We start from the raw sequence: 21,382 nt of genomic DNA on the forward strand, positions 1-21,382 counted from the left end.
TTGCTAAGGATTCTCTTTAATTATACTTTGGGGTTCCACAGAATTCAAATACATTTCATAGAAATTTTTATTCAATATATGCATTTCCTGTTTTTGTTTTATCCACCAAACACATTACCCAAATAAAAAAGCCACATTACAGATATTATTTCTTCATAAAACATTGTTACATAGAATACTATTTTATCCAGATCACTGCTTTATGCCATTCCTTGTTTCTCTAAACCTACTCAGATTTCAAATATCATCTTCTGCCACCTGGCAGGAGATTCTTAGACACCTTGAAGGTCATTTTGGGAAACACCAGATATAAACTTGCTTTTCCTTTGCCATAGAATTCACTATCTTGAAAACCATTTTATTTTACAAAGGAATATATATTAAAACATTCAGATGATAAGAGATCAATCCAGTGTTACAATGTGCTAGGTATATTATAAAATGTCTCAGTTATTTAGGAACAAAAAGGCAATCATTAATAAAAATGTCATCCAGAAGAGTGAATTTTACTTTTGGAGTAGAGGTAATCCATAATTGGATCATATGCTGCCCAGTGCCCAACCACATAGCCTGCTCCTGATTGTTTACATGCAGAGGATAGTAGAGAAAGTATATCTGGTTAGAACAATTAGATATTCTTTTGTAAAAAAAAATTGAGAAGACAAATTTAATACATATTGACTATATTAATAAGGGTATGATGTTATGATTTATTAATATGGCATGTATATGTTAATATGGATATATGTGATTGAACCACAACAAACATCTCTCTTAAAATCTAGCTTTTTTTTGTAAGTCAAAATGCTGTTGAAGCATGCATGTACCACTAAAGGCTACTGCAGCCAAAATATTTTAAATTTATAATTATAAATGAAATGAAGCTACTAATAATTTATACTCAAAAGTACAAATGAAAGCCATTGAGAACAAAAAACAAATTCACTCTGAATGTACTAATTTCCAAGTGTCCTTAAACCACATTACAAACTAGTCATTGACTAGTATAACATATAGCAGACAGATTTCTTAGTAGAATAGAGTTAAAATTCTCAGTACAAAATGGAAATATCTTAATTTTAGTTTTGTTTACAAAATCTCTTTTTCCACATAAACAATATGGAGCTGATTTAAAAATTCTTAATAATATGTATTTTAATATTGATTGTGTGTTTTCTTTGCAAACAATCTTACCTCTATTATATTGACTTTAAATCATTTGTTCACCAATAGAGTAAAAATGATGGAAATCAATTAAGTTATACAGAGTGCTTCTATAACTATTATATTCAAATAAGTGATTTTTATCAGGGATTGCAGGATAGACTGTAGATCCTCCATTGTCAAGGACCTTGGGCAGAGTTTTACATGACTACCAGGAACCATATTTAAGCTGCATATGTGATACATGTACATTATTTTGTGTTTTTCTAAGATTTCAAAATTTAGAATATTGATAATATAATCATGGGGCTAAGCACTTATAAAATTATTATTAGAATTATTATACATGCTTGGTAAAAATATATTAATATCAATACAATAAAAAATGCAAGTTACCAGGACATGAAAATTTCAATCTCCCAAAACTTATCTTTCATTTCAGAAAATTGCATCAAAGCTACATTTATTGCAAAATATAATTTTCTTGGTGAGAATGCAAATGCTAATTTTTATAGGTAATAATTATCTTGGAGACAACATTCCTTCCACTACTTCTTTATAGCTCTCTCATTATCAAATCATCTATATTTCTTCTTTTTATAATTCTAAATTTTCATTTAACCAGCCTAATTCTTGTTCTCACTCACCATTCCTTCTGGATACTACATTAACTGGTTTTTATTTAACTAATATAATACTTGGCTTTTACTTAATGTGTTTTAATACATATTGTAAACATGTTATGGCAAGTATATAATCTGAGCATATTGCCTACTTTGTTCAATGGGCTTCTTTAGTGTCCCCCCAAAACAAAATATACTATTATAAAAAACAAGTTTAAACTCCATAAAGACACAAGTTCCTCTAAACAAGGTGTATGTATTTAAGTGAAGTTAAAGCAGGTGACCTGATATATTTTCTGTCTTCATCCAGGACATACCCCAAAGAAAGAAAAGATGCCAGGTGACCCAGCCTAATCTTTTCATCATCTGGTTCTTTGGGTAAATCAACTGATTAGACTTGCCATAAGGAAGAGACCTGATCTCTAAAATGCCCGGAGAATAATGCCCTGGCAGCAGATTCTTATTTTAAATAGAACTCAGTATGTACGAGGCCTAGCCTCCTGGAGAATGTCATGAAACTTATGAAGTCGTCGGGGCATAAAATGTAAAAGTTTTATAATTTAAATTCATCCCACTGTGTTAGTGCCCTGGTTTCAATGGCCCCTCAAAAACCCATGTTGCAATTTAATTACCATTGTAATGGAATAAAGGATTGGGACCCCTAAGAGGTGATCAGGGCATAAGGGCTCTGCCCTCAACAAATGAATAATGCTAGTATTGGGGGAATGAGTTGCAGATAAAAGGATAAAGTTGGGCTAGCTTCCCAGTCTGTCTCACAAACTCAATTGTGCTTTTGCCTTCTGCTACGGGATGATGCAGCACAAAGGCCCTCACCTCCAGAATCATGAGCCAAATAAATTTCTGTATATTACAAATTAGCCAGTCTGTGTTATTGTGTTGTAGCAACACAAGTCAGACTAAAAAAAATTGATACCGAAGAGTGGGATTATTGCCATAACAGCCTGAAAATGTAGATGCGCTGTTGGAATTGGGTAACGGATACAGGTTAGAAGAATTTGAAGAAGTAACTTAGAAAAAAGCCTGGATTGCCATTAATGCAGCATTAAGTGCAATTCTGGCGATGGCTCAGAAGAAGATCCTAGAACTAGGAAGAGCCTAAAACTTCTTAGGTATTACCTAAGTGATCATAGTCAGAATGTTGTCAGAAAGATGGACTGTGAAGTCCAATCAAAGTCTAAGATGGAACCAAAGAACAAAGTATTGGAAACTGGAGTAAAAGACATCCTTGTTATATAGTTGCGGATAATTTGGGTTAATTGTATCGAAGTCCAAAGGCTTCATAAAAGGCAGAATTTAAGAGTGATGAACTAGGATATCTGGTGGAAGAAATTTCTAAGCAAAATATTTAAGAGGCTGCATGGCTACTTTAAATCACACATAGGAAAAACCCTTTTAGATATTGGTTTAGGCAAGGATTTCATGACCAAGAACCCAAAAGCAAATGCAGTAAAAACAAAGATAAATAGCTGGGGCTTAATTAAACTAAAGAACTTTTGCATGGCAGGAGGAACAGTCAGCAGAGTAAATTGACAACCCACAGAGTGGGAGAAAATCTTCACAGTCTATACATCTATACATCTGAAAAAGGACTAATATCCAGAATTTACAATGAAGTCAAACAAATTAGCAAGAAAAAAACAAAAAATCCCTTAAAAAGTGGACTAAGGACATGAATAGACAGTTCCCAAAAGAAGATATACAAATGGCCAACATCGTATGAAAAAATGCTCATCTCCACTAATGATCAGGGAAATGCAAATCAAAACCACAATATGATACCACCTTACTCCTGCAAGAATGGCCATAATCAAAAAGTCAAAAAACAGTAGATATTGGCATGGACGCGGTGAACGGGGAACACTTCTACACTGCTGGTGTCAATGTAAACTAGTACAACCACTATGGAAAACAATGTGGAGATTCCTTAAAGAACTAAAAGCAAAACTACCATGATCCAGCAATCCCACTATTGGGTATTTACCCAGAGGAAAAGAAGTCATTATACAAAAAAAGATATTGCATACACATGTTTATAGCAGCACAATTCGCAGTTGCAAATGTTGAACCAATCTAAATGCCCATCAATCAGTGAGTGAATAAAGAAACTGTGGTATATATATTCCATATATATATATATTCCACATATATATATTCCACATATATATATTCCACATATATATATTCCACATGTGTATTCCACATATACATATTCCATATATATATTCCACATATACATATTCCACATATACATATTCCATATATACATATTCCATATATACATTCCATATATATATTCCATATATATACATTCCATATAAATACATTCCACATACATTCCATATATACACACATTCCACATATACACATTCCATATGTACACACGTTCCACATATACACATTCCATATATACACACGTTCCACATATACACATTCCATATATACACACGTTCCACATATACACATTCCATATATACACACGTTCCACATATACACATTCCATATATACACACGTTCCACATATACACATTCCATATATACACACGTTCCACATATACACATTCCATATATACACACGTTCCACATATACACATTCCATATATATACACGTTCCACATCTATACACATTCCATATATATACGTTCCACATCTATACACATTCCATATATATACCTCCCACATCTATACACATTCCATATATATACCTTCCACATCTATACACATTCCATATATATACCTTCCACATCTATACACATTCCATATATATACGTTCCACAGCTATACACATTCCATATATATACGTTCCACAGCTATACACATTCCATATATATATGTTCCACATCTATACACATTCCATATATATAGTTCCACATCTATGCACATTCCATATATATGTTCCATATCTCTATATATTCCATATATATGTTCCATATCTCTATGTTCCATATCTCTATGTTCCATATCTCTATGTTCCATATATACATTCCACGTCTATACACGTTCCATATATACACGTTCCACGTCTATACACGTTCCATATATATATACGTTCCACGTCTATGCACGTTCCATATATATACACGTTCCACGTCTATGCACGTTCCATATATATACACGTTCCACGTCTATGCACGTTCCATATATATATACGTTCCACGTCTATGCACGTTCCATATATATAAGTTCCACGTCTATGCACGTTCCACATATATATATGTTCCACGTACATATGTGTTCCACATACATATGTGTTCCACGTACATATGTGTTCCACGTACATATGTGTTCCATGTACATATGTGTTCCATATATATGTGTTCCATATATATGTGTTCCATATATATGTGTTCCATATATATGTGTTCCATATATATGTGTTCCATATATATGTGTTCCATATATATGTTCCATATATATATATGTTCCATATATATATATATGTGATGGAATACTTCTCAGACGTAAAAATGAATGAATTAATGGCATTCGCAGCAACGTGGATGAGACTGGAGACTTATTCTAAGTGAAATAACTCAGGAATGGTAAACCAAATGAAATGGTTTGGCTATGTCCCCACCCGAATCTCATCTTGAATTGTATCTCCCACAGTTCCCACATATCATGGGAGGAACCCAGTGGGAGGTGATTGAATTATGAGGGCGGGTCTTTCCTGTGCTGGTCTCATGATCGTGAATGAGTGCCACAAGATCTGATGGCTTTAAAAATAGGAATTTCCCTGCACAAGCTCTCTTTGCCTGCTGCCATCCATGTAAGACATGACTTGCTCCTTCTTGCCTTCTGCCATGATTTTGAGGCCCCCTCAGCCACGTAGAACTGAAAGACCATTAAACTTATTTTTCTCCCCAGCTTCGGGTATGTTTTTATCAGCAGCATGAAAACAGACTGATACGCCAAACATTGTATGTTCTCACTCATAAGCGCGAGCTAAGCTATGAGGATGCAAAGGCATAAAAATGACACAGTGGACTTTGGGGACTCAGGAGAAAAGGGTGGGAAGGGGGTGAGGGCTAAAAGACTACAAAATGGGTGCAGTGTATACTGCTTGGGTGATGGGTGCACCAAAATCTCACAAATCTCCACTGAAGAACGTATTCCTGTTGGCCGAGCGCAGTTGCTCACATCTGTAATCCCAGCACTTTGGGAGGCCAAGGCAGGCAGATCACTTGAGGTCCGGAGTTCGAGACCAGCCTGACCAACATGGAGAAACCCCATCTCTACTAAAAATACAAAATTAGCCAGCTATGATGATGCATGCCTGTAATCCCAGCTAGTAGGGAGGCTGAGGCAGGAGAATCACTTGAACCCGGGAAGCAGAGGTTGCAGTGAGCCGAGATCGTGCCATTGCACTCCAGCCTGGGCAACAAGAGCAAAATTCCATCTCAAAAAAAAAAAAAAAAAAAGAACTTATTCATGTAACCAAAACCACCTGTTCCCCAATAACCTATGGAAATAAAAAAATTAATAAATCACATACAGTAAGATGCAAGAGAGAAACAAAGAATTAAAGATGGAATTTTTAATTAAAAGAGAAGCAGAATGTAAAAAATTGTAAAATTTGCAGCCTGGCCATGAAAAGAGTAAAAAACTGTGTTAAGGAGAAGAAACAAGGGTGTAGCCATCCATCATTTGCTAAAGAGATTCGTATGGACAAAAGGTATCATGAACACAAAGGGAGAATAGCACCAAAGGCATTACAGAGAACTTTGATGGTGCTACTTTTATGACAGGCCCATGCTATAGGAGGGCAGAATGGTTTTGGAGATGAACCCAGGGCACCTTCTACAAGCTCATTGCCCAGATCTGCGATGGTCATCTGTACTCTGCCATTCCAGTGCAATGCTTCTTGACCAGCCTAGCCACGCTCAAGTGGCCCCAGGTGTGGCTTGGCCTGCCACACTGGAAGGTACAAGTTGGCAGTGACCATATGGTGCTAATTCTGCAAGCTCACATCATGTAAGAGCTGTAAAGGCATGATGATCTTCACCTCCATCACTACTTAGGAGCCCAGGCAGACCTCCTCACAGGGGAAGAGCCACTTCACACAGCCCCCACTAGGAAAATGCCCAGCAAAAACACAGGAGTGAAGCCACTCTAGAGAATCCTCACTTGAGCAATGCCTAGTGAAGCCATGAAGGTGGGGTCACCTTGAAAACCCTAGAACTGTAGAGTTACCATCATGCAGCTTCATTCTGGGAAAGCTGCAGACAGGAAACTCCACCACTTGAAAGCTGCTGTGTGGACTGAGGCCTGCAAAGCCAAAGGAGTGGGGCTGCCTGAGGCCTTGGGGGATGCAGGATGCGGAGTCAAACGTCATTATTCTTCAGATTTATAACTGATTTTTTTTCCCTGTTGGGTTTTGACTTACTTGGCAGTAGTTACCCATCTTTTCTCACCTATTTATTTTATTTTCAAATGGGAATGCCTCTCCTTTGCCTGTCCCACCATTGTATTTTGGAAGTAAATAACTTGTTTTGATTTTACAGACTTAAAGCTGGAGGAAATTTGCCTCAGAATGAATCATGCCTTGAGTCTCACCCATTTCTGATTCAGATGAGACTCTACTTCTAAATTTTAAATTGGTGCTGGAAGGAATTAAGACCTTTGGGGCTATTGGAATAGAATGAATGTAATTTGTATGTGAGAATGATGAGTTTTGAGAGGGCAGGGGTAGAATGCTACTGTTAGAATGTCACCTTCAAAATGCGTGTTTAAATATAATTGCCATTGTGATGAAATTAAGAGGCAGAACTGTTAAGAAATTATTAGGCCATCAGGGTTTTTCTCTCATGAATGGATTAATGCTGGCATCATCGGTGTGAGTTAGAAATCTTGGGAGTGATAAAAGGTTGGCCCTATTTTTTCTCTGTTTTGGGAATTCACTTGCTCTTCTGCCTTCTGCCGTGGGTGACACGGCACAAAGGCCCTTAGCAGATGCTGGTGCTATGTCCCTAGACTTCCTACAACCACAAGCCAAATAAATTTCTGTTCATTATAAATTACCGAGTCTTGTTATTCTGTAATAGCAGCACAAAACAAAGACAGACCCCACAAATCTCCCTTAGGGACCTCACTGTATTGGACAAGTGTGACACATCCAACATGGGAGGAAGGGAGCTGGGCAACAGCCTCAACAGCCTAGAACATTCTCTGCTTCATCTGAGCCTGACTACTTGCATCCATGAAATTATTTAGTAAAGAGATATTGAGTAGAATATCAGTGAGTGAGATTTATGCTACTCGGATTTGACAATCTGATCCTGTTTGATAGCTTAGTTATCTTACCTGGAGAATGTCTGACTTCACTTAGGTAATGATATATTTCTTTTTAATAATTTGCTTATGAACATGAAGAACCAAAATGTACACTGAAATAAAAACTTAAAATTGAGGAAGATTATTGAGAGTTCCTGATAGAATTTAACCTTAAAGGAAAATTTAAATTTATTAGTAGGTTTCTAACTCTGCTATTTGTTCTTCATAATGGCCATAATCAGAAGAGACCTATTCCATGTAAATTCCATCAGCATGCTACAATGTGAGGAGCATATCTTACATTTCTAGAGTGCTTAAACTCTGTAGTATATATTTATTCACACTAAATGGAATAGAAGTTAATATGCAGAGACATAATTTAAAGTGATGCCTGAATTTAAAGTTTCTGTAATTTCAAATGTAGTAACCCTGGGTTGAAATACAAAGATATATTTTTCCAAGGTACATATCTATGCGGTACGATTTTATTGATAAGAATTATGTAAATTCTGCAAAAATCTTTATAGATGGAATCATTTCCTTAAGTAATATCTGTGATGCTTGTTCCTTTCAATTATGTTGTCAGTTGGGTTCATCAACTAATACTTGTATAGCCGTTGAACTAGTATTATAGTCCTAAAATTAATATTTATGATTTTCAATTCATGATATTGAACATTATTTAGAGCCCTTTTCCTCCACACATTCTTTGCTCTAGTTCTAGAATAATTAAGCTATATTCCCCTTTCAACTCCTTATGTTGCAGTTTTCCATTTGATTGCATGTACTTTAACCTTAAGTTAATTTTCTATAGTATAAGAAACATGTTGTATAATTGGCTTTATTGAAGCAAACTGATTTGGGTCAGTAAAAAGCTCTCAAAAAATGTGTTATAAGAAGGAATAATAATTATTTATTTCTGTAGAAAAAATGTCATGGAGAAAGTTAACATTATAGTTAAGTATATTTGAACTATGATTTCTGCATGTTTTTTCTCCAAAACACCAAGATACATACCTACATTCACATGCATTCAAGCAAACATTTTCTCATAGTCTTATTTTTTTTTAAAGTACACACACACACACACACACACACATATACACATACGTTGTGATTTCTGTGAAACTCAGATTATACACATGTATTTATGTATGTGTATAATTTAATTTTCAAAGAAATCACAGTTAAAGAAAAAAGCAATAATATTGACTCACCATTTCTGTAATTTACTCTCCAGTTCCCTGGTGCCAGCAGCATTAAATTCCAGATGTAGGAGACTTGTCTTTTTTTGCTCAACATTTCCCCATCATTTTTCTTTTTTTGGCGGGGGGGTTGCGGGGGCTGGGGGGAATTGACTGAGAATTTGCCTCAGAGAGATAGGCAGGCACAGCATTGTGAAGGTTATTGTACAGCATAGGAGCTTTCAGATAAAAGAGCTACTGAAGAGTTTCATGTAGGACTTTAGGTAGGATTTGTCTGATTTGTATTTTAATAGATATTTCTGATAGTTTTATGGGAGATGAACCTTGAGAAAATCAAAGTAGAATCACGTAAAAGGCTACAACTTGCATTTGAAGAAAGAAGAATGATGGCTTCTGTTCTCTCTGCTGACTTCCGTAATTCCAGAGTCTAGTTGCTGTTTAACTCCCAGCTTGGGATGATAGAAAAAAGAAGTAACCTGGCTGGTGGTTGAAGTTGACACCTTATCTATTGGAGTGTTCATGGGTTCTTTGAAGTTTATCAGCACTGTGGATCCCCATGATATTCTCAGGATACATTTCTGCATGCTTTGTACGTAAGTTATTGTGTGTCGCTGCTTGACCACTCCTCCTTAGTGAACTTCACAGGTGGGCAACACCACGCATATGTTGGAGTCTTTACATGCTCCCACACATTCCCCTTGAACAGGACTTCATACCGTCTGGGATGGAAGACAGAATTTGGCTCTCAGCCTCTCTATTAAAACAGTTTGCCAACCCATGCATTGATTTCTAGATTTCTGGGTGAGATCATTGTATCTCAACACTTATGGAGTGTATATAACACATACCAAGCTCTCTGGGCTATCTCTTTGAAGTTCAGTCACTGTATATTTGAGGTGATAAAGACGACAGCTTACATCCTACCTTCTCCTTAGAAAGAGACTAGGGATTCACAGGATTTATTTTAGAATAAATTTTCTCAAACTGGTCTCTTGATCATTTTTATACACTCATAAAAAGTGAGAAGTTTTAAATAACACAGATACAAATTTTGTTTATTTCCTTGGAAGATCCTTTATATCCTGATTGATTTTGTAATTTCATACGTACTGTATTTTGGTATCCTGTTGGAAACTTAAATTTTAATATCATGTTAAAACACCATTTTGAGCATTGAACTTCTTTGGTAAGCATGTTATAAGAGTTTCACGGCCACGAGCTTTGTCTTACGCCTGTAATCCCTGCACTTTGGGAGGCCAAGGCGGGCAGATCACCTGAGATCAGGAGTTTGAAACCAGCCTGACCAACATGGAAAAACCCCATCTCTAATAAAAATACAAAAATAGCTGGGCGTGGTGGTGCATGCCTATAATCCCAGCTACTCGAGAGGTTGAGGCAGGAGAATCTCTTGAACCCAGCAGGTGGAGTTTGCGATGAGGAGAGATTCACCGATTCACCATTACACTCCAGCCTGGGCAATAAGAGTAAAACTCCGTCTAAAAAAAAAAAAGAATGATCCTGAGTGGAAGAAATTATTAGCTCAACGATTCCTATGAATGTACTTGTAGTAGAGAAGGATAGAATGGTATACATTCAAGGAGGTATTTAAGAGATATAATCAGTGATAACTCTTGATTAGATGTTGGAAGTGATGGAGACAATCAGACAACTCTTAGGATTCTTACCACGAATGTCTGGTTGTATCAATTTGCTATCAAATAATAAACAGGATAAACACTCTTAACAAGGGGCAGGGTTCATGGAAACACTTTGGACAGAAACTTCCAGGAGATGATGTCTGTATTAAAATATGAATGCCCGGAAAGAAATATGTGTACATATATCGATTTAGGATACTTTAACATACATGTGATTGCTGAAACTCTGTCTGTTGATTAGCTTCCCTAATATGAAAATGTAGAATAAGAAATAAAAATGGGCTGAGCTGGCCCTAGAGGTAGCAACAAAATTCCTGGAGAAGAATACCAAATTAGAAGAGAATACCAAAAAAAAAAAAATGTATATTAATCAAAGAAAGAGAGGAGCTACAGTAAAACAAGAGGACTGTTGTACATTTGAATTTGTGAAAATAGCAAGTTGCAGGAGAGTGTCACTAGATGTATGGCAATATAATAAAAATTGAAAAGACTAATTATGAATAGGAATTAGTAGGTATTTGGAGCACTTAGCAAGAACACTTTTATTATAAAAATGTGGTAGAAGCCAGATTACATTGGGTGAGAACTGAACATTGCATTAGTTAAGATCCTCACAGGAAGCATGCCACATTAAAATTAGATAACTAGAGGCAAATTTAATAAACGGATGATTTACAAAAGTGATGGCAGGGAGTAGAAAAACCACAAAGGATAATACAGTAGCTAAGAGCCTAAAGGCAGGACTCTATTACTGCTCCAAAACTAAGGTGACAAGGAGGGAGTGTTTACCAGAATTGGAAGAAAAATAATTCTATGTAGAAAGGGTCACTTGAAAAAAGTGAGAGCTTCAGTCAAGAAACTTAGTCAGGGTGCAGCAATCCCAGGGGGAAATATGTCATTATCACACTTTCAAATCAAGGGTAGATTACTGTTTAAAGAAGTATCAGTAAGGAGGAGAAGAAAAGAACAGCTGCAACCAGAAAGGGATGTGAGGTCAAAGAAGGGTTTTTAAGATGAATAAGCAGTGAGCATGTTAATAGGGTGTGAAGATTGCCTTAGAGAAGGAGCGGTTGAAAAATAGAGCAGCCAGAGCTGTTCACTAATATCATAGGAGAGAGAGATGGGATTGTGGCACAGGTTAAGGCATTGGTTTTAAACAGCAAAAGGGACTCTTCTTCCTCTCTCATTTTAGGGAATAGATTTATGATTTGCTGACTAAGTAAGTCTAGATTGGAACCAGAAAAAAGTTTCTTGTCCTCTCAGGTAGCTCTGATGAGACTGGGCCAGGTTCTACCTAGAAGTTGACTTCTAATTTGACATCTAGGATAAAGTAGGGATTGGGAGAGAAAGGAAGGAGTAAGCCTAACTTTTTTTAGTTTATGATGTGGGGGCCGTTAGAAGACAATGGAATAGGTTGAGGTTCATACAGGCTGTTTGCCAGATGCTCAAATGAGGAGCTAGAAACACCTCAAATGCCCATGGTGGTAAAGGAGTGATGTTTGGAGGCACAGTAAAGCAGGAGGATCCCAAACTTCCCTACTGGACCAGTCATATTTAGCTACAGAGAGAACTATAGAGAAAATAGTGTTCCTAAGAGATCTAGTTTTCAGTTAAGGCACAAGATAGGATAAAAGGATTTTGCAGAAAGGTTGACTGTGTATGCAAGTTGGTTTCAGAGAATTCAGGGAAAAAGTTTGTAGCTGAGAATGGGGCATAATTTTGTGATAAACCAGGAATGAAAGAGCATAAAGTATGCTTAGTTAAATTATTTTCTTTCAACACAAAGAAGTCAATATATTTTACCTTATTGTGTAATTTTGTTATTACTGTTTTATGCTATGCAATGAAGAGGAACAATGAAAAAGGAAGATTCCTGTGTGAGAATTCATGAGCTACAGTGTTGAAAACAAGAAGTTTGAATGCTTATAAATGGATAGAGAAACAGAAACAATAGGTTTGTGAAAATATATTAGGTTTGTGAAAATATTCTGGCTTGTCTACCAGCAAGCCAGAAGACATCAGGGATGCTTTTCTAACACAAATTACAACATAAAAATATACAAAATGTGGTGTGATTAGAAGTGGTATCCATTTGAATGTATATTATAATTTTTATTCTGTTAATACTGAGCATCTAAAAAGTTCATAACAGTATTTTCAGACTATTGTCTTACTCAGAAGAAAGAAATAATAAGAGAAACTGCCAGTTTGAACTTAATTCTCACCCACACAAAAATGCTTCTTTGTAATGTCATCTTGACAGGAACCATAAGTCACAGCAACTGGGTCATCCTGAATTATCTAACAGAGAAAGAAGGGAAGTCTTACAGGCAAGTCAGACTTTTGGGAAGAAATATAATAAAACAGAAACTTTTTTTATTATCCCATGGTGAAACTGAAATGTCAACTCAAAAGGGAGGAAGAATGTTAAAAATATAATACTGATCATATAAGTGTGTAATCACAATAAAATTTTTAAAGAGAGATAGGAAAAACAAATTCAGTTTGGCAGAGAGTTTGCCAAAGACCTTAAAATTTTAAACATGTGTATGAGATAAAAGGAAGAACACGTTACTGGGGATGAAGACAAAACTGCATCATGTTCTATCGAGAATAGTGTTACAATGAGATAAGTATTGGGCCTCAACTTTAATCTAGAAATGGTAGTTAATTCAGAAAAGAGTTACAAGAACACCTCAAAATCTTAATATCACACCCTGTAAACAACTGTAGCCAATATAACTAGTTGAATTCATTATTTCTCTTACAATGTCATCACCCCATCTATATTATCTCCTGCTTCTCTAATACTCTTTGATAGCTCATAACTTTTCTGTTCATTGTCATTGTTAGAACAGTTTAATTTTCAGGGATTAAAAGAAATGTATTCCCTTTAAAAACTGATTTGATCGCCTATCTGATTTAATACACATCTTCAACTCCCCAGCCCAGATTTAACTTGGTGATGAGAGAAAGGGGAGTGGTCTGTTCATTTGTTATTCCTCTACCTGTTGTTGTTGTTGTCATTGTTGTTTTTAATGCCTCCTGCTCCAGACATGTTGCTCTGGCTTTTCCATTGTTCAGAGGATAGATGAGTGGGAAAGGAATAATGCCTGGCTTGAGTAAAGGAGATCAATTGCTGAGATCAATTCACTGCTTGAGTGGAATTTTTGCAAGGTGAATATAGCTTGTGCCATCCACTCTGAAAGTGCAGACTCTTCCCAGTAATGCCCTCTCTTCACTCTGGTGTAGAGTACTGCCTGACCAACCTCATCCCCTGGGATTATTCCAAGTAAGAGTAAGCCACCAGTCTTCTTCTCTCTGAACTCCAGGGAACTCTGTTCAAGTTCTCCTAAGAAATCTTTCTCTACCCACACTCAGGTTCCATGCTAGCTCTGGGACTCACTAAACTCCCTCATGTAGTTTAAAGTATGCAAGCTTAAAGTAGAAATCACCTTTCTCTCCAAACAGAAGAGAGTGAAAAGTTGTCCTAGTAATTATATGCAAAAATGAATCTTTACTCTGGAGCTTCCTTAGATTTTTTTCTTCCCTTTTATAAACTAGAATTAAGAAAGGGGCTAAGAGTCTATCTGCCATCCAACACCTACTCTTTTTGGGATGTGTCAGCATCTAATGCCATGGTCTTCAACAAAAAAGGAAAAGTCCCATGGAACATTCTGTTATATTTGTTATTCTGAATAAAGCTTAATGTTTACTGTGGCTAGAGGTTACTGAAGACCAGGGCATCAGAAACATATTTTTTCCTAATTACAGAAAGCAGAATCAAGACCCACCGCCCCCTCCAACTGGCAATATAAAATGAGAGTTCTATCTATCATAAAATTATGAGCTCTTCTTCTCTGGAAACTTTAAAATTGATTTTGGAACTAATTAATGACTTTGCAGAAACAAATCACATTTAAGCACACATGATGTTCTGTAGAACCACAAGGTGCTGATGTGAAGCTATATAAGCTGCTTCCTAGTCTTCAGGAAAAATTCTAATTCTCTAAATAAAAATTAAAATGACCCCAAGAAACAATCCGAAAAACGGTAATAGTCAGCAATAACATTGACTACATTTGTACTTTTATTATCTCTCTTTTAATTTAGTTTTTCAGTGGAATCATGATTTTTATGTAAGAACTAATCTCCATTTTTGTTTATTTGAATACTTTCTCTGATAGCTTAATTACATAAAATTATATTAAGAGGTTACTCTATGTAACTAGACTCATTTGAGAAGCTTCAGGGTAAAAGCTAAATCCTCATTCATTCAGAAACCAAAAAAGAAGAGATAATAATGCCTGTCCCACATTTGAAAGAACTGAGCATTTTCTCTTCTTTGCACTGCCTGCCTCAAAAATTAGAGCTAAAATTGTATTAGATTATATAATTAAATAATAGAGTAATGCATAGTTTCCATTGTAATCTTCATGAAATTACCTCAGTTGTATTACATATTATCTATCACAGTCACATTTATTACTGTCTTCTGACCAAAGCTTAGGTCCTTGCAAGAGCTTTTGGTAGGTAATAGTTGTTGCTGATGTTATAGAAGTTTGAGGTTTGGTCAAAAATAATGAAATTCATTAGTTGGAAGATGACTAATGATGTGTTTTGAGTTTCCCAAGACATACTGTTTTGTTCACCAACTTTCATAACTTGTTCCTCTATAAATACTGCTAATTTTATAAGCAAACATGTTGATTCCTTTGAATTCGTATGTTTTTGATTACTAATAAGGTATTAGTAGTAGTATCTTTCACCAATGTCTATTTACCACTAATATTTTATCTTTTATTTTTGTCTGATTACTTTGTCAATTTATCTATAGAACTCTAAAGGGGCTTAAATTTTGATAATCTGTCAATTAAGTTTATTTTGAATGCAAAAATTATATATATATGTGTATATATATATATATATATATATATATTTTTTTTTTTTTTGAAACAGGGTCTCACTCTTTTGCCCAGGCTGGAGTGCAGAAGTGTGATCATGGCTCACTGCAGCACTGATCTCCCAGGCTCAAGCATTCAGCCTCCCGAGTAGCGAGGACTAAAGGCTAATTTTTGTAGAAACAAGATTTTGCCATGTTGCCCAAGCTGGTCTCAAATTCCTGGGCTCAAGTGATCTGCCCACCTCCACCTCTCAAAGTGCTGGGATTACAGGTGTGAGCCACCCTGCGTAGTCCTGCTATTAATTTTTAAGTAGTTAATTGTGTCTTCAATTTTTATAAAACTTATTTATTCATAATATTGATTAAAATGTTTTCTTTTACATTTTTTATTTTAATATTTAACTTTTTGATCTATCTATAATTTATTTGATTAATTGTGTGGAGTAAGAGCTCTCATTTGATTTTTCCCCAAAACCAATTTTATTTATTTAATAATACAGAATTTACCCATCAGTTAGGGTTACAACATTTATTATTCATTAAGTGAATAGTCATTAGTGACAAAGGTATAGAAAGACTGCACAATATAAACCATTAGTGGCAGGTTGGTTGTTCAGTCTTTTTGAATAACATTTGAACGATGTTTATCAAGCATTTAAAAATTTTATTTCTTCTGTAATAAAAAACATACTTCTTAAAAGCTAGTTTAGAATTAACATAAATTACAAAAAGATTATTCTCAATATGCTAGCTGCAGAATTACTTAAAAGTTTTGACAGTTTTAAACAACTTAAAGACTCAATATTAAAAGAAATTAATTGTATTTTGACACTATCAATGTTTATCGTATTTTGATCCTAAAATCAATGTTTAATATTATGTGCTGTGTTGACATCTGGTGAAACAGTAAAAGCCTCAAATGCCCTAACCACAAGTTCCTCTCCTCACTTTGCTCCAGAGGATAAGGTCCCTAGCCAAAAATCCTCCTTCTTATGGGGACCACACTCGGATCCTGCTTATTCTTGAGTAGTAGCAGGTTCACATTTCCTGCTGGCTCAAAAAAATATTCAAACATGTTAATTACATTCTCTGAAGGCACCAGTGGAAATACAGATTCCTCCTGAGACATCCACTGGTTGTTTACTCTGTCCCAAGTGCAGCCCCCATCTGCCCTGCTAGCCGATGCCGTGTCCTCCTTCCTCCTTCCACTTGCTGTAGGTATTATTTGACCAGTACATTGCCATTGATCTCATCTGTCAGTGTCAGGAATTGTGTGTTTGACTATCCTCACAAACTTAGGGGCAAGAATACTTCCCTTAGCAATGAGGGGAATAAGAGGTGATTACAACAATAATAAAATATTATAATAATTAATAAACATTTACAACAATTTGAGTCACATTTGAAGTGCCTGTTATAACATTAAGTTTAAATATGTAGGAATCAAAATTCTATTGCTTTAAAGATATATGTTTACCTTAATCTGGGAGAAAGTATACTAAAAATATTCATTTTGTTGATGTGGAAGCCATGAAAATGTGGTGTTCTAATCTTTTATAGGGAGTGACATTGGTTGATGACCCCAAGCATGGCCCCCGCCTTGATCCATCACTGCTTTTGCACCAAATGCTCCCTCAGCCTGCTCCAACCTGATTACTGACCATGGCAGTAATAATAAAGATTATTTCTTTAAGATGCATGACTATTTCAATAGGTGTCTTTATTTCAAGGATTTATCGTCAGCCTCGTCTAAACTTTCTTAGAATTGTATTGCAATCTGAAACTCTTCCTATCTATCCTCCTTTCTTCTTCCTCTCTTTTACAGAAGTCAGAAGAGCCTTACAACCTGAAAGCTCATTCCACCTTCTCCATCTTCTCCCCCAATCAATAAATTTCTTGCATGTCTAATACCAACTTTACATCTGTTCCTTAGTGTACCCAAACTAACACAATTTTTCCAAAATCTTTATATTCAATTGCAGAACATAGTAAAACTATAACTCATCATTTTATAATTTCATTTGCTTGCAACTTTCATTTGTTTAACATAAATTTAATGTCATCCTATTAAGTGATAGGTCTATACCATCAAAAGACTTATGCATTTCCGGTAGAAACAAGATTGGTTATAACTTAAACAATAAGAATATGCAAATAATAGTAATAAAACAATAATGCAAGAAATTGCATCAGATAGAATTTCATTATGTGACTGAAAAGAACAGAAAACAAGCGCTATAAATTGTGGAAAGATATATCTTATAGTTGAAGTAGTGGGTAAAGTCTATGTGATCATAGGATTGGAGTTCATTCTTCAAAGTTAAATAACATAGAGAAACACTATGAATGGCAGAGGTTTTACAGACAAGGGGAAGTAGGAATAATAAAAAAAGGCAGCAGAAGAAATGTGTTTTAAGAGTAATGAATAGCAAATTGTGGAAACATAATTTGTAATCTCCCTTAATGTTAAATATTAAAATACATGCTGTGTTATTTAAAACATAGCGACATGTTTTTAGTTTTAAGAGAACATAATGCAATCTGTATTCAGTTGACTTTTATTCTATATGTGTACCTATATGACTACGAGTTGAAGAGTCAGAACATCTAACTTAAGGTTATGTGCATTATGAATGTTTAAACATAGTGAATATATCCATCACATATGAGATAGAAGTGCCATGTTGATTTCTACTTCTTCCTTTCTTGGCTGCATACCAAGGATGTTAGTAAAACATATAATTCATTATATGAAAGTCAATTATAGAATTGTATTTACAATGAAAAATGTCATTACCAGTAAAAATACAGAAAGATAATGAGAGCATAACTTGAATTTATCTTTTATCACTTCATGCAGGACAAGATAATAATTGGGACTCTAAGCTTTTGAGTACTTATCTTTGGAAATAAAAATTCAAATGAATAATTAGACTGCTTTCTTTGATGTTTATTAAAGCATACTTGTTTTAATAGGTAATGTAGTAACACAAAAATTATTTTTTATGTGTTTTTTTATAGCAAAAGCCTAACTTCTCAAAAGAGAAATACATTTTTATCTGGTTGGAAAATGTTTTCTAATTTGACTACTATATAATGTTTCTTAATACAGTATTGTCTGTAACAGGTATTTACATCAGTTTAAAAGAGAATCTCATTTTTCTGTTCACCTCATTATTATTATAACTAATCACTGGTTGTCATGGTTTACAGCTATTAATATGGGGATTTAATTTTTAATATAAATTTAATATAAACTATATATTTATATAATTTTAAGGATAATAAGTATGTGTGTGCATATATGTATATGTTAGATTCAAAACATTATAAATAACAAGGAAAACTAATAATAGTATCTATGAAGTGATTCAAAATAAATAATTTCATCTAGTCATTTCAGCAGACCAATAAATATAAAAATCTTCATGTATTCTTTCTTCCTAGGTGATAATTCTGACACAAGAGTTTAATAAATTTGCCAAGGTCATATAATGCACAGATGTCAAACCCAAATTCCACTCTGAGTTTTTTGTTGCAAGTTGAGCATCTTTTCTAAAGGTAGAGAATTATCATAAAGGCATACTTTAATGGTACATGAGTAATTTACTTCCAAAGTTCTTGACCTCAAAGTATGGTCTTAAACATAAAGATATTAAAATGAAATCATTATTCAATACTACAAAAAATTTTCAAGCATTACATTGATATTAAATAGGGAACACAATTATATAATATCCTTCAAACTTGTTTATTTTCATACTGATAATATATTTATCTGCAAATAAAATGGGTTAAATAAAAAGCACAAGTTAGTTAAAATATTTGGATAAAACATTTAAAAGAAAAATAGCTTTTTATATATTATTTTGCTTGATAAATTATGTGTTTTAATAGAGAAAAAGATGAGAGAAGGAAACAGAAATAATGTATGTGTGTGCTACAAGAGATTTCATGAAAAGAGGAACAGGATTTTATAACTAAGATCAATGAGGTTGTGATTCCAAGACCATTTCTCCTTTGTAAGGATAGTGGTCATTAATGATTCTTCCTGAAAGAAAAAAAGATGGAGAAGAGAGAGTAATCTGCAGTCTGGTGAACATTGGTAGAGACCAGTGACCCAAGAAAACAGAGTTAAAGCAAGACAAGTCAAGGTAAATGAGCAAAATGTACCACTTGGGAAGAGAAAGAGACTGTAGATGGTATTTTAGTTGGACAGAAGATTGCTACTTTGAGTTGGCATATGTGAATTTAATTTTGAATTGGACAGATGACTGCTAACTTGTAGATCAAAAGTTAAGTATATAAACTCAAAGTGAGCTAAGAAAGATATAATTTTATCTCTTGACATTTCTGTCTATACATCACACAAATCCTCAGAAGCCAAATTTTAAAATTATTCTTATTATATTGTTATGTGCATGTATGTAAATATGTATGTATCTACCTTTCTTTCCAGAATATTCTCTGTGATCAAGGACTTTTCTTTATGTATTTTCAGAGCATAAATTTAGCATCCAGAATCTTGTAAATGTTCAGCAATTTTTTTAAATTAATGACTAAATAGTTGGTTTGAGTAACTACCAATAAAAAGCTAAGGCAGAAGGCCAAAATTAGGATCCTAGTAATTCTAGTCCATGTCAGTCATAGTCAGCAGTATTGATTCAGGTATTCAACAACATAGGCCATTGATATTATGTCCCCCTCAGTAGCCTACACTTAAATTATAGAAGAAAAAAACTGTGAGTAAATATTTGAAAAGAGTAGCAAGAGAAAAGGAAAGTGATATGGCAAAATAACAAACTTTAAGGTAAGTTCACAGGTGAGTTCTATGTAAAATACATGTTTTGACTATAATTGCAGCTGAAGGAAAAATCCGAAAGAGAGGATGAAAATAGAATTCAGAATATCCTCCATGGAGAATACACTGTGCATTTTGTGAGTTTAGAATCAAGCACAGTGCTGACATATAACACCTGTTCAATTGATATTTGTTTAGCAAATAAATGAACTCAAATGGGGTTTTCAATTATCTTTTTACGAGGAAGTAAGAAACTATAAACAGGAACTACTGTAATAAATTTTAGAAAGTCCTATAACCTTTCCTGCTTTCTCATGTTTATTACTTTGCTATCCTTAGTTTTTTAAATATAGTTATTGAATAGGAAATCATTATAATTAGATTTGTTCTTAACTTTAGTGACAGCCAAAAGGAGAAAGCTGGGGAAAAGGATAAGACAATGGAAAAGGGAGCCCTCAGCAAAGGAAAGGACAAGGAAAGCCGTCAAAGACAGTAGGAAGACTAAATCCCTCTGGTTTTCTGCAGTAAAAGAAAGCCTGGGGATAAACAGCCTAAGTCTGAGAAAACATCCAGGGGCTTAATACCCACTCACTGAATTTAATATTCAACAAATTTAAAAGCCCTGAGGTACCCTATCTCTAATATCAATATTGTGCATTTGTAAAATGACTTAACATTTATTTTCAAAGAAGTAAAGGACATGTAATTAAGAACAGATATTTTTAACATGTGTTTTT

At 34.7% G+C, this 21,382-nt stretch overlaps 1 protein-coding gene across 3 annotated transcripts in view; it reads right to left on the bottom strand.

Annotated features, from left to right (window-relative positions):
- Window positions 1–21,382, bottom strand: part of NDST4 (N-deacetylase and N-sulfotransferase 4) — a 285,858-nt gene that overhangs the window by 189,516 nt on the left and 74,960 nt on the right. The gene's annotated exons all lie outside the window — the stretch shown is intronic.

The sequence above is a fragment of the Homo sapiens genome, chromosome 4, assembly GCF_000001405.40.
Source record: "Homo sapiens chromosome 4, GRCh38.p14 Primary Assembly".
Taxonomy (NCBI): domain Eukaryota; kingdom Metazoa; phylum Chordata; class Mammalia; order Primates; family Hominidae; genus Homo; species Homo sapiens.